Here is a 16,819-nt window from a genome sequence, read left to right on the forward strand (position 1 = left end):
AAATACCCAGGAGGCCTTCCACCCAAGCGAAGGCGAGTATCAGACACGGGCTACCACCCTAGTAAGAAGAAGGCACCTGCCCACGTATAGTTGGAATTCATCTAAAATTCACTTAGTGCTTACTGTGTGCCAGACGCTGAGGGGCGTCCTGCAGATTCAAAAGCGCCCCAGGCCCGGCGCGGTGGCTCACGCCTGTAATCCCAATACTTTGGGAGGCCGAGGTGGGCGGATCACCTGAAGTCAGAAATTCGAGACCAGCCTGGCCAACACGGTGAAACCCCGTCTCTACTAAAAATACAAAAATTAGCCGGGCGGGCCGGGCGCGGTGGCTCACGCGTGTAATCCCAGCACTTTGGGAGGCCGAGGTGGGTGGATCACGAGGTCAATAGTTCAAGACCATCCTGGCCAATCTGATGAAACCCCGTCTCTACTAAAAATACAAAAATTAGCCGGGCGTGGTGGCGCACGCCTGTAGTCCCAGCTACTCGGGAGGCTCAGGCAGGAGAATCGCTTGAACCCAGGAGGCGGAGGTTGCAGTGAGCCGAGATCGTGCCACTGCACTGCAGCCTGGCGACAGAGTGAGACTCAGTCTCAAAAAAAAAAAAAAAAAAATTAGCCGGGCGTGGTGGTGCGCGCCTGTAATCCCAGCTACTCGGGAGGCTGAGGCAGGAGAATCACGTGAACCTGCGAGGCGAAGTTTGCAGTGAGCTGAGATCGTGCCATTGCCATTGCACTCCAGCCCGGGCGACAGAGACTCTGTCTAAAAAAAAAAAAAAAAAAAGCGCCCCAGATACGGCCCCTTCTTCCAAGAAGACCCAAAGCTGGCAGAGCTGGGCGGGACAGCCGCAGAAGGGGAAGCCAGGTGAGAACACCAGCACCGGCCGAGGGCTCCGTCCCGAAAGGCCTTCCCCGCTGCTGCCCGGCTTACTCTCGAAGGGTCCAGCGCCCAGACCGCCCTGCCGGAGGGGTCCGCGCCCCCAGGCCGGGCCCTCCCCTCCCCGCCCGCACTCACTGCGTCTTCCTGCGGCCCTGGTCGCGGTGCAGATCCCGCAGGTCCACCTCGGCGCGGCCCAGGAACTTGTCGAGGCCGAGCAGCGCGCGGTGCAGCACGGTGAGCTGCAGGGTGGCGGCGGCCGCGGGTCCGGAGGACAGCAGCGATGGCAGCTCGAAGGTGGCCTCCTCGCGCCACACGGGCGCGCCCAGGCTGCGCTCCGACACGGAGGTGGCGTACTTCTCCTTGCCCACCTGGATCACCGCGTACGCGTCGCTCGTGCCCCCGGGGCCCTTGGCCCGCAGGCCCCGCGCCTGCAGCACCGTCACCTGCACGTGGGTTGGGGACCACACGGCCCCCAGGCCCCGGCCAGCCGAGACCATTAGGGACATGGTGACGATAACACTCCAGAAGCGAGGAGAAGATCGCCGCGACTGGCGGCCTCCACGGCCCGCCCCGGCGACCAGGCCACTTTAAGGCTTCCGGCCACACCCCCGCCAGGCCACGCCCCTCATGGCCAAGGCCACGCCCCTGCCCGAGCCGCCTGCTCCACCTGCTGCGCCGCGCCCCGCCCCGCCCCGCCCCGCCCCGCCGGCCTCAGCAGCGCGGGCAGCTCCGGGCACCCGGGCGCCGGAGGCGGGGCTGGCGCGGCCAGGCAGGCAGGGGATCACGTGCGCAGGGGCGGGCGCATCGAGAATCTAATCTGAGAGGTGGTAGGTGACGGATGGGGTCCCCAGCTGCCAAAGGTCGCACGGCGGGAAGGAGCTGGCCGAAGCACTGACTTGGAAGTCAGACCTCATTTCCAGGGTCACATCGCCAGTCGTGGCCTTGCGCGGATTACCTAACATCAAGTCTCAATTTCTTCACCTGACAATCACCTCCTAGGATTGCTGTAAAAAATAATAATAATAATGCATTACAGTTCTTGGCCCAGTGCCTGGCTCATGGTGAGTTCTCAGTAAATAACCATGACCAGCACGTTGGGAGGCTGAGACAGGAGGATCTCCTGAGCCCAGGAGTTCGAGACCAGCCTGGGCAACATAGCCAGATCCCCGTCTCTACAAAAAAAATTAAAAATAATTAGATAGGAGTGGTGGCAAGCGCCTGTGGTCCCCGCTACTTGGGAGGCTGAGTCTGGAGGATCTCTGGAGCCCAGGAGGTCGAGGTGCAGTGAGCCGAGATCGTGCCACTGCACTCCCAGCCTGGGCAACAGAGCAAGACCCTGTCTCAAAAAAATAAAGTTGGTAACTATGAGGGTGCTAAGGAAGATGCCCACCCAATTCACTGTGCTTTCTACTTCTCCCGCTGGAAAGCCTTGCTCTGGAGGAAGGCAGCTGCAGAGGAAGGTGAGGACCTTGTGAGGGCCGGAAAAGGGGAAGGTATCCTGGGGAGCATGAGTTCAATGTGGGAGTGTCCTATTTTGCCCTCCCCCCACCAGATAAGGCGAGGCTGAGTTAGAAAAAGGGAAGAAAGGAGGAACTGAAAATGGGATTGCCAAATCAAACATCGGGACAGTGGCAGGCCCCCAGCCCGCAGTTCCCCATTTCTCCCTTGCCAGGCCCTCTTTAGTCTCTCCCTGCCTCTATCCCTGGGCTCCCAGGCAGTCCCTTTCTTGTTCCAAATGCCTAATAGATCGGCTGCTTCCCTTCATTTCACAGGTCCTAGTTCAAAGGCTCAACTGTTTAACGAGTCATCAGATTGGAAAGGTCACTTGGAAGGTTTTAAAGTTTTACAGTTAAGGAAAGACTCAGAAGAGAGGAGTGACATGTCCAAGGTCCCTCTGCAGAGCTGGGACTGGGATCCCAGTGTCCTGACTCCCAAACAGCTGTTCAGTGCATCTCTTGATTCTTCCAGATCCACAGAACCCCAATCTTGGATGGCTACTCGTGTCCCTCCAATCTCCAGGCTCTCCTCCCTCTGGTTCACACTGCACATTGCTTCACTAACCTGCTGGCTGCCTCACCAGCAACCGCGTTACCTTCGGACTGAACAGAGATTTCAAGGTACTCCATTTTGACCCCACCCTACCTCATTCTCCTCTATCTCCCGAACAAACAAACCTGTAGCCCAGACACTTTTTACTTCCAGGCCTTTACGTTGTACCCTTGACTGTCTTTGCCAACCTCCCACTGCAAGGGTTCACTCATATTTCTCCAAGGTTTGACTTCCTATGCCCTGCTGAGGGCAGGGACCAGGTAGTGACTTATTCAACTTGTCTCCTTCACAGCCTCCAGCACAAACCTGGGTGCACAGTAGGTACCCGGGAAGTGCTACTGAACTCAAGAGTTTGCAGGTTAAGTTGGCCAACCATGAGGACCAAGTGTTTCCTTTTACCACGTAGGAAATTAGAAGACAGAGGTATGCCTCAGGTTTGCAACTGAGGGCAGCTGCAGTGTGAGAAAGGCCTGTTTAGTATGTTGGAAATATTTTTTTTCTTTTTTTTTTTTCTTTTTGGAGACAGAGTCTTGCTCTGTCTCCCAGGCTGGAGTGCAATGGCGCAATCTTAGCTCACTGCAACCTCTGCCTCCCAAGTTCAAGCGATTCTTGTACCTCAGCCTCCCAAGTAGCTAGGATTACAGATGTACGACACCATGCCCGCTAATTTTTGTATTTTTAGTAGAAATGGGGTTTCACCATGTTGGCCAGGCTGGTCTTGAACTCCTGACCTCAAGTGATCTGCCCACCTCGGCCTCCCAAGGTGCTGGGATTACAGGTGTGAGCCACTGCACCTGGCCATGTTGGAAATATGTAACGATGATGGGAGGAGTGGGGGAAAGAAGCCAGCAGGCATAGAAGGGGCAAGAAAGCCTAACAGAACTGTGTTGTTTTGGTGCCATTTTCCCTTCTGGATGATCCATTATACTCATTCAACATTATGACTCAGTTAATTTCCATAAAGGCTTCTTGAGGCCAGATGCAGTGACTCATACCTGTAACCCCAGTGCTTTGGGAGGCTGAGGTGGGAGGATCACTTGAAGCCAGGACTTCAAGACCAGCCTGGGCAACACAGCAAGATCTCGTTACTACAAAAAGATAAAAAATAAAACCAATAATTAGCCAGGCATGGTAGTGCGCACCTATAGTCCCAGCTACTCAGGAGGCTAAGGTGAGTGGATTACTGGAGCCCAGGAGTTTGAAGCTACAGTGAGCTATGATTATGTCACTGCACTCCAGCCTGGGCAATAGACCGAGACCCTGTTACGATTTGTTGAGCATTTACTTTGTGCCAGGCATGTGCCGGGTGCTACCAAGTGCACAAAGCTGAATGAGACTCAGTTCCAAGGCACTCCAGCATCATCTAAAGGAAGTCCTGATTACTGTGATGCTTTGGGTGTTTTGAGGAGAGAGCGATTTCTGTAAGTTGGTGGATTTTTGTGAAGTAGGAGGGGCTCAGCTGGGCCCTGAAGGATATATCAGATTTGACAGAAACAGGAGGAGACATATGAGAAGAGCATTTCAGGAGAGAAGAGGAGAACAGCCTACGCAAAGATATGGGGACCAGAGAGTCGTGGCGTTTCCAGGTTTCACATACCCCATTGTGGCTGGAATGTAGGATGCTTTAGGAGGCCACTGAGAATGAGTGGTAGAAATAAGACAGAAATAAGACAGGCTGCGCTCAGACCATGAACACCAGGCTAAGGAGCCAGCCTTCAGAGAACACCAGGCTGAGACCAGGGGAGCCAGCCTTCAGAGAACTTTGAGCAGTGACCTGCTTAGGCTGTTCTCAAATTGCAAGGGAGGTATGAGAAGAAGGAGTCCAGCAGCCAACAGCTTGGCAGGCAGGTCACAGCTAGATGCCTTCATTCATTTTCACCTGGGGATTGTCTGCCTTCTGCCCCAATCTGCCTACCTCTTCCCCATCTTGGAGTCTCTTCTAAGTTGGTACTGAATTAAATAAGAGGGTATACACTTTCCTCTTGATTATCCTACCTGTCCAATGTTCTACTACACGCCAGCTGGACAAAGTCATAGATTTCAGTTCAAAACTGACCTGGGGAGGTGGGGCACAGCGTCTCACACCTGTAATCCCAACACTTCGAGAGGCCAAGGCTAGAGGATCACTTGAGCCCAGGAGTTCAAGACCAGCCTGGGCAACATACTGAGATTCTGTCTCTATAAAACAAACTTCAAAAATTAGCTGAGTGTGGTGGCGTCCACCTGTAGTCCCAGCTACTAGGGAGGCTGAGGTGGGAGGATTGCTGGAGCCCAGGAGTTCGAGGCTGCAGTGAGCTATGATTGCACCACTGCACTCCAGCCTCAGCAACAGAGTGGGACCCTGTCTTTAAAAACAAACAAACAAACAAACAACTCAGCCTGGGAGGAAGTTTTTCAGCTCTAGTTCCCCCTCCTCTCCAACACTCACATTTTTAGTGCTGCTCCCCCAATAAAGAAAACAAGGCATAAAACCTAGCTGGACAGCCTCCCCAGCTGAGTATGAAACAAAGCATATCTTCCACCCATGGAAAGGATTAGAGGACAAAGAGGGTGGGGAAGTACCTGTGACCTCATGTGTTTGAGTTTCTGTGAGACACAAATAGACTTTGGTGAAAGCAGATGTGGTAGTTTGGAGGCAGGCACAGCTGCCTCACCACCCAGGAGAAATCCAGACCACTCTCATCAGACACTGACCACTGGCAGGGGTTAGCTCAAAGGAGTGGGGGCTTCCCAAGGCAGGAACTGGAAATTTTTCAGAGAAGGAAGAGGCCGGAGCCCCAGCACCAGGTGTGCCTTGCTGCCTCCAGCTGTTTGGTGGCTGTTTTTTCCCCTCCACCAGCCCAGAGCACGTTGTTCCCATGACTCTGCCCAGGAGTCACCCTCTGTCTTCTCCCAATTTTCCAGACCCAGAATCCAGGCTGGGGGATGCACAGGGACAACAACAAGGGCAGTGACAAGGCAGGCACCCTGCAGGCCCCTGGCTCCCCACTGGCCCTGGGAAGACTCCACCGTGGCCGCTCCTCCCCACTCCCAAAGGCCAGGCTATGCTGGCCGGCTGAACCCGCGCAGGGTCACTGAGTTCCAGGAGTGTTTGTAAATACCTCCCGCAGCCAGGGTGCGGCAGAACAGGAAGGCTGCTCCTTCCTCCCATCCTGCCCTGCCTCCAGCTTGGACTGAAAGAGGAAGAGTTTCAATCAACCCTGAGCACATGGACAAGCCTGGCAGGTTAGACTGGACAGGTGAGACACCTGTCCTCCTTCAAAAGCAGCAGAGCAGAGAGTGCCAGGACTCCCAGCCACCTAGATGGCCCTGGGCAGCCGAGCTGTGCAGTTAGAGCTGATGAGAAGGCAGGGCTGTGTCTAGACCAGCGGGAAGCACCTCTTCCATAAGAGAGTCCCTGGGGCCACGCTGGGGAAGAGGAGAAAAGGGGTTCCAGGGAGAGAATCCTCCTGACAGTCACTCCCCCAGAGCCCTTCAGTGTCCCTGATGCCCCTGCTGCAGGGACACTAGCTCAGAAACCATCTCTGGGGACTCCAGGTGGGCTCTTGTGCTAGCCCATGGAGGAGCAGAAAGGGGCTGGAAATGGCTCCTTGACCTTCTGCTCTGCTTCAGACTCTGGGATGTGGTGACAAATGTCCACACAGGGTGATTCACTCACCTGGCTCTAAACAGCCCTCGGGCTTCCCCGTGTCCAGCTGCCTCAGCCTCCTGCCCACTTGGTTGGCCGTGGGCACCTTTCAGTTGTAGGTTTGAGGAGCAAGGGCTTCCTGCCTTGGGGGGTCAGTGAGAAGAAGGGAGGTCAGAGTGCCTGACATCGGGTTCTCTTTCCCTTGCCCCAGTAGCTGTGGCAATGTGGAGGTTGAAACCATGGCCCAGGCACCTTGGTAGCTGTTTTCTCCCCTTTACCAAGGCAAAACACATTGTACTGAGACTCACTGCAGTCCCCGCAGTGCTGCAGTCACAGCTCACCGCAGCCTCAAACTCCTGGGTTCAAGCAATTCTCCTGCCTCAGCCTCCCAAGTAGCTGGAACTACAGGCACACACCACCATGCCTGGCTAATTTTTTAAATTTTATCGTAGAGACAGGGGTCTTGTTATGTTGCCCAGGCTGGTCTTGAATTCCTGAGCTCAAGCAATCCTCTTGCCTCGGCATCCCAAAGCAGTGGCTTGTAGGCACGAGCCACCGTGCCGGCCAGTAGGGCACCTCTGTGTTACCATTTCTAGCTTTCCTGATTGCTTGCAAATAGAAGGCAGTTCAAGGTAAGTAGAAGATCCATAAATGACGTGCAAGCCTTCAGCATGGACAGAAAACCGGACAGAAAATGATCTCAACAGGCAAGTGGCTAACCATTTCCCCTGCAACCGTGTTAAGAGCATGGCTTTGTTGAACAAAACTTATGTTATAGATAATGCAAAGGTATTGTCTTTCCAATTTGTCAGGTCCCCTCAAAGAAGACCCCTGGATCCCACAAATACAATGTAGTAGAAAATGTGCACCCCTTTCCTTCCCTTCCCACTGCACAAATCCTTCCTTTAGGCCTCTCCTAGCCAGATTGCTTCTGTTTCCTAGTTTATTTCTTATGCTTTATTCAGGACTTGCTTTATTCACTTGGTATCATCTCAAAAGCAGGAAATGGGCACCTCATCTTTGTTTCTTGTTTTGGTTTTTTGTTTGTTACTTTGTTTTTAGAGACAGGGTCTCACTCTGTCACCCAAACTGGAGTGCAATGATGCAATCATCACTCACTGTGTTATCGGATAGGAAGTCTTGACTGTGAGTTGTCCAGGTTCTTGACTCATTGAATGAAGAATTGAACAAAACACACAAAGCAACAAAAGGAAAAAGCAATGAAAGCGCAGATTTATTGAAGTGAAAGCGCATGCCACAGAGTGGGAGCAGGCTCTAGCAAGCGGCTCAAGAGCCCCAACTGCAATGTTCTTTAGGGTTTTTATTAAGATAAGAGAATTTGGTAACACCCCAGGTGCCCTTTAGAGGCCTCCATTGGTTACACCCTATGAAGGATTGGCACGCAACCAATCGGAGTCTGAAGTGTTATCAGAGGAGCGAGGATGTGGCCTGGATGTTGCCTAATCTTGCCTAGAACTGGCTGCACCTGTTGTTCTTTTGCTTATGCCTTAACCCTTAGTTACCCTGATTCCCTATTCTCCTACCTTAACTGCAACCTTGACCTCTTAGGTTCAAGCAATCCTCCTGCCTCAACCTCCCAAGTAGCTGGGACTACAGCTGTGTGCCACTATGCCTGGCTAACTTTTAATTTTTTGTAGAGATGGGGTCTCACTGTGTTGCCCAGGCTGGTCTCAAACTCCTGGCCTCAAGCCGACCTCCCACCTGGGCCTCCCAAATCAGTGGCTTGCAGGTATGAGCCACAGTACCAGGCCAGTACTTCACCTTTGTACCACCATTTCTAGTTCTCCTGATTCTTTGTAAATAGAAGGCAGTTCAAGTTAAGTAGAACAGACACAAATAACTTGCAAAGCTTCAGCATCTGTCCGTTCAATCCTTGCCACCTTTAGCCCTACACCCTGTATAATTAGCTTTCTAAAATACAAGGTTTAGGCCAGGCATAGTGGCTCTTGATTGTGATCCTAGCACTTTGGGAGGCTGAGGTGGGAGGATCCCTTAAGCTCAGGGGTTCAAGACCAGCCTGGGTAACATAGTGAGACCCCCCCATCCCTATTTTTAAATTTAAAAATTATTTTTTGGCTGGACATGCCTGTAATCTCAGCATTTTGGGAGGCCGAGGAGGGTGGATAACTTACGGTCAGGAGTTTGAGACCAGCCTGGCCAACATGGCAATACCCTGTCTCTACTAAAAAAATATAAAAATTAGCCTGTGATGGTGGGTGCCTGTAATCCCAGCTACTCAGTAGGCTGAGGCACAAGGATCGCCTGAACCCAGGAGGCAGAGGTTAAAGTGAGCTGAGATTGTGCCACTCCACTACAGCCTGGGCAGCAGCCATCAATATGTATATATACATATATATTTTTTTTTCTGATGCTAAAAATATACCTGTTCATCATAGGTCAGGTGTGGTGGCTCACACCTGTATAGTAACATATTTTTTAAATTTTTTTAGACGGAGTCTCAGTCTGTTGCCCAGGCTGGAGTGCAATGATGCGATCTTGGCTTACTGCAACCTTCACCTCCCATGTTGAAGCAATTCTCCTGCCTCAGCCTCCTGAGTAACTGGGATTACAGGCACGCACCACCATGCCCGGCTAATTTTTGTATTTTTAGTAGAGATGGGGTTTCACCATGTTAGCCAGGCTAGTCTCTCGAACTCCTGACTTCAGGTGGTCCGCCCACCTCAGCCTCCCAAAGTGCTGGGATTACAGGTGTGAGCCACTGCACCCAGCCAGTAACAAGATTTTTAAAAATAAACTTCATTAAAATGTAGCATAGTTATAATAAAGGAAAGAGGATGAAAAGAAAAATGTATTATAGCCATCCTATGCAGAAAAAGTGTACCAAAATGTTTGGTTTGGTGAATTTTCACCACCCAGGTAAAGAAATAGTATCAGCACCTACAGAAATCTGCCTGTGAGTCCTTCCCAGTCCCCCTCCCCTCCAAAAGTTACCCCTGTCCTAATTTCTTTCTTTCTTTTCTTTCTTTCTTTTTTTTTTTTTGAGATGGAGTCTCGCTCTGTCGCCCAGGCTGGAGTGCAGTGGTGTGATCTCAGCTCACTGCAAGCTCTGCCTCCCGGGTTCACACCATTATCCTGCGTCAGCCTCCCGAGTAGCTGGGACTACAGGCACCTGCCACCACGCCCAGCTAATTTTTTGTATTTTTAGTAGAGACGGGGTTTCACCGTGTTAGCCAGGATGGTCTCGATCTCCTGACCTCATGATCTGCCCACCTCGGCCTCCCAAAGTGCTGGCATTACAGGCATTAGCCACTGCGCCCAACCCCCTGTCCTAATTTCTATCTTCATACATTAGTTTTGCTTTTTTTTTTTTTTTTTTTTAAGTGACAGGCTCTCATTTGTCATCCAGGCTGGAGTGCAGAGGCACAATCATAGCTCACTGCAGCCTCAAACTCCTGGGCTCGAGTGATCCTCCCACCTCAGCCTCCCAAGTACTTGGGATTACAGGTGGGAGCCACTTCACCCAGCTTAGTTTTGCCATTTTTGAACATAAGTGAATCAGACATTTATCAGACATTTGGGTCTGGCTTTTTTTTTTTTTTTGAGGCAAAGTCTTGCTCTGTCATCCAGGCTGGAGTGCAGGGGCACAATCTCGGCTCACTGCAACCTCCGCCTCCTGGGTTCAAGCGATTCTCCTGCCTCAGCTTCCTGAGTAGCTGGGATTACAGGCACACACTACCATGCCTGGCTAATTTTTGTATTTTTAGTAGAGATGGGGTTTCACCATGTTGGCCAGGCTGGTCTCAAACTCCTGACCTCAGGTGATCCACCCACCTCGGCCTCCCAAACTGCTGGGATTACAGGCGTGAGCCACCACACCCGGCCAGTCTGACTTCTTTCAATCAGCATTATGTTTATGAGATTCACTAATGCAGTTCCTGTAGCAGTAATTTTTTCATTCATATTGGTTTATAGTATTCCATGGTATGAATATACCACAATTTATTTTCCATTCTAAAGCTGATAGACATTCATGTTATTTGTAGTCTGGGGCCTGCAGTGGACTGAAGGATGGCTCTCCAGAAGATATGTCCATGTCTTAATCCTCAGACATGTGAATGCTACCTTGTTTAGAAATAAGGGTCTCATGGGGCATGGTGGTATGCACCTGTAGTCCCAGCTACTCAGGAGTCTAAGGCTGGAAGATTGCTTGAGCCCAGGAGTTCTGGGCTGTAGGGCACTAGGTTGATTTGGTGTCTGCACTAAGTTCAGCATCAATACGGTGAGCTCCTGGGAGCATGGGACCACCAGGTTGCCTAAGGAGGGATGAACCATCCCAGGTTGGAAACGGAGCAGGTCAAAACTCCTGTGCTGATCAGTAGTGGGATCACACCTGTGAACAGCCACTGCACTCCAGCCTGGGAAACATAGCGAGACCCTATCTCTAAAATAAATAAATTTTATATATATATATATATATATATATATATATATATATATAAAAACAAGAGTCTTCGCCAATGTAATTAAATTAAGGCCCTTGATATGACACGATCATCTCGGATTATCCAGAAGGACCCTCACTCCAGTGACAAGTGTCCTAACAGAACAAGGCAGAGCGAGACTACACAAACAGGAGGAGAAAGACCTGAGAAGGAGGAGGCAGAGATGAGACTGATGCATCCACAAACCAAGGAATGCCCAAGGCCACCAGAAGCCAGAGGACACGAGTGACAACACCTCCCTAGAGCCTCTGGACAGAGTTCAACCCTGCTGACACCTTCATTCTGGACTTTCAACCTCCAGAGCTGACAGTGAGAGAATAAATATCTGTTGCCTTTTTTTTTTTTTTTTTTTTTCAGATGGAGTCTCTCTTTGTCACCCAGGCTGCAGTGCAATGGCACAATCTCAGCTCACTACAATCTCCGTCTCCCAGGTTCAAGCAATTCTCCTGCCTCAGCCTCCCAAGTAGGTGGGATTACAGGTGCCCGCCACCATGCCTAGCTGATTTTTGTATTTTTAGTAGAGACAGGGGTTTCACCATGTTGGCCAGGTTGGTCTTGAACTCCTGACTTCAGGTGATCTTCCTGCCTTGGCCTCCCAAAGTCCTGGGATTACAGGTGTGAGCCACTGCGCCCGGCCATCTGTTGTCTTAAGCCACCAAGTTAGTGGTAATTTGTGACAGCAGCCACAGGAAGCGAATACAGGGGTATGGGGAATGAAATCGCTCTAAATTCTCCTCTGTCTTTCAGTGCATAGACATAAGTGTGCACCCACACCCAAGAATGGAATTGCTGGATCACAGGGTGGGTGTATGTTCAGCACTAAGAGATATTGCTAAACAATTTTCTAAAGAGGTTATAGCAATTTATACTCCCACCAATGTTTGAGATCCAGTTTCTCCACATGGTTGTCAGCCTCAGTGCTATGGTTTGAATATTTGACCCCTCCAAACCTCATGTTGAAATGTGATCCCCAGTGTCAGAGGTGGGACCTAATAGGAGGTGTTTGGGTCATGGGGGCGGATCCCTCAAGACTTCATGACAGCTTGGTGCAGTCTTGGAAGTAGTGAGTAAGTTCTCGTTCTGTAAGTTCCTGTGAGGGCTGATTGCGTTTTTTTTCGTTTCGTTTGTTGTTTGTTTGTTTTTCTTCGAGACGGAGTCTTGCTCTGTCACCCAGGCTGGAGTGCAGTGGCACCATCTCGGCTCACTGCAACCTCCGCCTCCCAGGTTCAAGCAATTCTCCTGCCTCAGCCTCCCAAGTAGCTGGGATTACAGGCTCCTGCCACCATGCACAGCTAATTTTTGTATTTTTAGTAGAGACGGGGTTTCGCCATGTTGGCCAGGCTGGTCTTGAGCTGCTGGCCTCAAGTGACCCACCCGCCTCCGCCTCCCAGAGTGCTGGGATTACAGGCATGAGCCACCGCGTCCAGCCTGGGCTGGTTATTAAAAAAAACAGACTGCTACCTCCCCTCTCTCTCTTGCTTTCTCTCTCACCCTATGGTCTCTGCACACGCAGGCTTCCGTTTGCCTTCTGCCATGAGTGGAAGCAGGTTGAGGCCCCCATCAGAAGTAGATGTTGGTGCCATGCTTCTTGTATGGCCAGAAGAACCAGCAGCCAAATGAACCTCTTTTCTTTATAAATTACCCAGCCTTGGGTATTCCTTATAGTAACACAAGCAGATGAAGACATTTAGTATTGTCTTTTGCATTTCACCCTTCTGGCGGCTGTGCAATAGTTTTAATTTTTATTTCCCTGGTGACTAATGAGGCTGTATGCTTTTTCTTAAGCTTTTTCACCATTTGGATATGGTTTTCTCGTGATGGGCCTACTCATATCTTTGGCCCATTTTTCTTCTGTCTTTGTATTGATTTGTAGATGTCATTACAAAGATAGAGATATCAAGTCTATAATGTAATGCAAGTATCCTCTCCCACTCTGTGGCATGCCTTTTCACTCTCTTAGTGGTGTTTCTTGATGAAAAGCAGTCTTAATTTTAATGACACCCAAATGATCAATCTTTTCTTTTATGGTTAGTGCTTTAAGTCCTTTCTAAGAAATCATTGCTGTCTCAAAGTCATGAATATATTCTCCTTTATTGTCTTATAAAAGCATTTTGGTTTGCCTTCCACCTTTATATTAGCAATCCACCTAATTTTTTGTATTATTCAAAGTTAATTTTTTTGAGACAGGGTCTTGCTCTGTCACCCAGGCTGCATGATCATGGCTCACAGCAGCCTCAACCTCCCAGGCTCAAGTGAGCCTCCTACCTCCGCCTCCCAAGTGTTAGTAGCTGGGACTATAGGCATGAGCCACAATGCTTGGCTAATTTTTGTAGTTTTTGTAGGTGTAGGGTTTCTCCACATTGCCCAGGTTAGTCTCAAACTCTTGAGCTCCAGTTATCCACCTGCCTCGGCCTCCCAAAGTTCTGGGATTACAGTGTGAGCCACTGTGCCTGGCCAAAAGTTAATTTAATTTTATTTTTTTTGAGATGGAGTCTTGCTCTGTCACCCAGGTTAGAGTGCAGTGGCTCCATCTCGCCTCACTGCAACCTCTGCCTCCTGGGTTCAAGCAATTCTCCTGTCTCAGCCTCCCGAGTAGCTGGGATTACAGGCATGAGCCACCACGCCTGGCTAATTTTTGTATTTTTAGTAGAGATGGGGTTTCGCCATGTTGGCCAGGCTGGTCTCGAACTCCTGACCTCAGGTGATCCACCCCCCTCGGCTTCCCAAAGTGCTGGGATTACAGGCGTGAGCTACTGCGCCCAACCCAAAAATTAATTTTTTAAAAAACATAAAATTATGAACTTTCATACAGACATAAAAATAAACATGTTAAAATTTTATTACACTTATTATTAAGAAAAACTAGTAAGGTGTTACAACCAGTTCAAAGGTGAATCCAAAGAATAGACGCATTTAGAGACCAGAAATATTGAAATGAATATGCAAATGGAGGCAAAGCTTGTTTTTCTGGAGGAGGGGGCAGGGAGTGTCCCTCCACTAGACAATTTGCTTTTATGAATTTTGCATTGCTTTCAATTGTCTACCAGACACAGAGCTGTAAAATAGCTATCATAGAATCAAAATCAGATAATCCAGAGAATGTACTATAGATAATGCAATTTTCCACTGAAGCACAAAATTTTCCCTACCATATAGTATCTGTTGGGATCAAGATTCATTTTTCCCCATATGAATACTGAAGGAACCCAAAAGATTTCACTCCGAAATATACTTTGACATTTAAAAAAAATTTTTTGAGACAGGGTTTCACTCTGTCACCCAGGCTGGAGTGTAGTGGCACCATCACTCACTGCAACCTCCGCCTCCCAGGTTCAAGTGATTCTCCCGCCTCAACCTCCTGAGTAGTTGGGAGTACAGGCGTGCACCACCACACCTGGCTAATTATCATTATCATTTTTTTTTTTTTTTGAGATGGAGTCTCGCTTTTTTTGTCGTTGCCCATGCTGGAGTGCAGTGGCACAATCTTGGCTCACTGCAACCTCCGCCTCCTGGGTTCAAGCGATTCTCCTGCCTCAGCCTCCCAAGTAGCTGGGATTACAGGCATGAGCCACCACACCTGGCTAATTTTTGTATTTTTAGTAGAGATGGGGTTTCACCATATTGGCCAGGCTGGTCTTGAATACCTGACCTCAGGTGATCCGCCAATCTCGGCCACCCAAAGTGCTGGGATTACAGGCATGAGCCACTGCGCCAGGCCTAATTTTTGTATTTTTAGTAGAGACAGAGTGTCACCATGGTGGCCAGGCTAGTCTCGAACTCCTGGCCTCAAGTGATCCACCTGCCTTGGTCTCCCCAACTGTTGGGATTACAGGCATAAGCCACCGGGCCCGCCTTAAATTTTTTCTGAGACAGCATCTCTCTCTGTCCCCCAGGCTGGAGGGCAGAGATGCGATCACAGCTCACTATGGGCTCCAGCAATCTTCCCACCTCAGCCTCCCAAAATATTGGAGTTACAAGCATGAGCTACCACATCCGGCCTAGTCTGACATATTTTGAGATGGTTGTTCAGAGGACCTGTGGACAGAAGGAGTCCTACCAAGCTGTCTTTTTCTTTTTTTTTTTGAGATGGAATTTCACTCTGTTGCCCGGGCTGGAGTGCAGGGACACCATCTAGGCTCACTGCAACCTCCCCCTCCTAGATTCAAGCAATTCTCCCTGCCTCAGCATCCTGACTGGCTGAGATTATGGTGCCCTCCGCCACACCTGGCTAATTTTTGTATTTTTAGTAGAGATGAAGTTTCACCATGTTGGTCAGGTTGGTCTTGAACTCTTTTTTTTTTTTTTTTTTTGAGACAGTTTCACTCTTGTTGCCTAGGCTGGAGTGCAATGGCGCAATCTCGGTTCACCGCAACCTCCACCTCCTGGGTTTTCAAGCAATTTTCCTGCCTCAGCCTCCCGAGTAGCTGGGATTACAGGCATGTGCTACCACACCCAGCTAATTTTGTATTTTTAGTAGAGACAGAGTTTCTCCATGTTGGTCAGGCTGGTCTCGAACTCCCGACCTCAGGTGATCTGCCTGCCTCAGCCTCCCAAAGTGCTGGGATTACAGGCGTGAGCCACCGCGCCCGGCCTTGGTCTCGAACTCTTAACCTCAAGTGATCTGCCTGCCTAGACCTCCCAAAGTACTGGGATTACAGGGATGAGCCACCGCGCCCAACCCCAAGCTGTCTTTTGTCGGGGAGATTTGCATCTGTTGAGAATCTGCGTGATGCAGCCAGGCTTTCTCTGAGATCCTCCCTTGCCTGGATCCAGGAAAGATGAACTGAGAGTCTGACACCATTAAAGGTCTGAAAGAAACATTTACCACCTATTCTCTCTGAAGGCTCCAACCTGTGAGATCCCCTCCATATAACAAGACACCTTTGCTAGCCAGTCCTCTCTTCTCTCCCTCCCATAAACTATTTTGCCATGAATCCAAGCCCCTATTCTTTCTGTAACTTCAAGATAGTATAAAAGCATCAATGACATTTTTCTTTGAGATCTTATATTTTGATAAGATTCCTGTTCACGTTAAAAACATTTGTGGGCCATTTCTCTTCCTAATCTGCCTTTTGTGAGTTGGTTTTTCAGCGGGTAGAGGGAAAGTTTTTCCTCAGCTCCTACAATATCCCATAGACCCAGTGCCATTTATTGAATGACCCAGCTTTCCCCTATGGGCCCGTCAATATCATGTTTCTGAACTCTATTCTGTTCCCTGGTCTATTTCATTATTACTGAACCAATACCATACTGTCTTAATTACCACAGTTTCATGACACATCTTAATATCTAGTAGTGTAAAGTCTTCAGCTTTGTACTTCCTCTGTCAAGATTTACCAGCTATTCTTAGACCTCTGCATTTCTTTTTTTCATTTTTTTCTTTTTTCTTTCTTTCTTTTTTTTTTTTTTCTTTTCGAGACAGGGTCTCATTCTGTCACCCAGTCCAGGGTAAAGTGGCACAATCTCGGCTCACTGCAACCTCATCCTCCGGGACTCAAGCAATCCCCCTGTTTCAGCCTCCCGAGTAGCTGGGACTACAGGTGAGTGCCACCGCGCCCAGCTAATCTTTTGTATTTTTGGTAGAGACAGAGTTTCACCACGTTACCCAGGCTGGTCTCAAACTTCTGCATTCAAGTGATCCAGCCACCTCAGACTCCCAAAGTTCTGGGATTGCAGGCATGAGCCACTGCGCCCCACCTGGAGTTTTGCATTTTCATATGCATTTTAGAATCAACTAGCTAGCCACAGTGGCTCATGCCGGTAATCTTAGCATTTTGGGAG

At 49.6% G+C, this 16,819-nt stretch overlaps 1 protein-coding gene and 1 pseudogene across 3 annotated transcripts in view, besides 4 other annotated features; one reads left to right on the plus strand and one right to left on the minus strand.

Annotated features, from left to right (window-relative positions):
- RAB11FIP1 (RAB11 family interacting protein 1) overlaps nt 1-1,439 on the minus strand; it is a 40,880-nt gene extending 39,441 nt beyond the window's left edge. For all 3 annotated transcript variants that reach the window (NM_025151.5, NM_001002814.3, XM_017013869.2), the window contains exon 1: nt 1,013-1,439. In NM_025151.5, coding sequence (NP_079427.4) covers nt 1,013-1,383 — 371 coding nt within the window. In that variant the 5' untranslated portion in view covers nt 1,384-1,439. The remainder of the gene's footprint in view (nt 1-1,012) is intronic.
- Nucleotides 824-1,253: a silencer, noted in NCBI's record as "silent region_19112". NCBI's record gives its function as "represses an Ori minimal core promoter by ATAC-STARR-seq in GM12878 lymphoblastoid cells {active_cell/tissue: GM12878}" and the evidence as "EXISTENCE:reporter gene assay evidence [ECO:0000049][PMID:35858748]".
- Nucleotides 1,474-1,703: a silencer, noted in NCBI's record as "silent region_19113". NCBI's record gives its function as "represses an Ori minimal core promoter by ATAC-STARR-seq in GM12878 lymphoblastoid cells {active_cell/tissue: GM12878}" and the evidence as "EXISTENCE:reporter gene assay evidence [ECO:0000049][PMID:35858748]".
- Nucleotides 5,503-5,672: an enhancer, noted in NCBI's record as "active region_27239". NCBI's record gives its function as "activates an Ori minimal core promoter by ATAC-STARR-seq in GM12878 lymphoblastoid cells {active_cell/tissue: GM12878}" and the evidence as "EXISTENCE:reporter gene assay evidence [ECO:0000049][PMID:35858748]".
- RN7SL709P (RNA, 7SL, cytoplasmic 709, pseudogene) lies at nt 10,680-10,979 on the plus strand (annotated as a pseudogene).
- Nucleotides 12,321-12,820: an enhancer, noted in NCBI's record as "H3K4me1 hESC enhancer chr8:37767897-37768396 (GRCh37/hg19 assembly coordinates)". NCBI's record gives its function as "activates a minimal SCP1, AML or CMV promoter by ChIP-STARR-seq in naive H9 embryonic stem cells {active_cell/tissue: H9 hESC(naive)}" and the evidence as "EXISTENCE:reporter gene assay evidence [ECO:0000049][PMID:30033119]".

The sequence above is a fragment of the Homo sapiens genome, chromosome 8, assembly GCF_000001405.40.
Source record: "Homo sapiens chromosome 8, GRCh38.p14 Primary Assembly".
Taxonomy (NCBI): domain Eukaryota; kingdom Metazoa; phylum Chordata; class Mammalia; order Primates; family Hominidae; genus Homo; species Homo sapiens.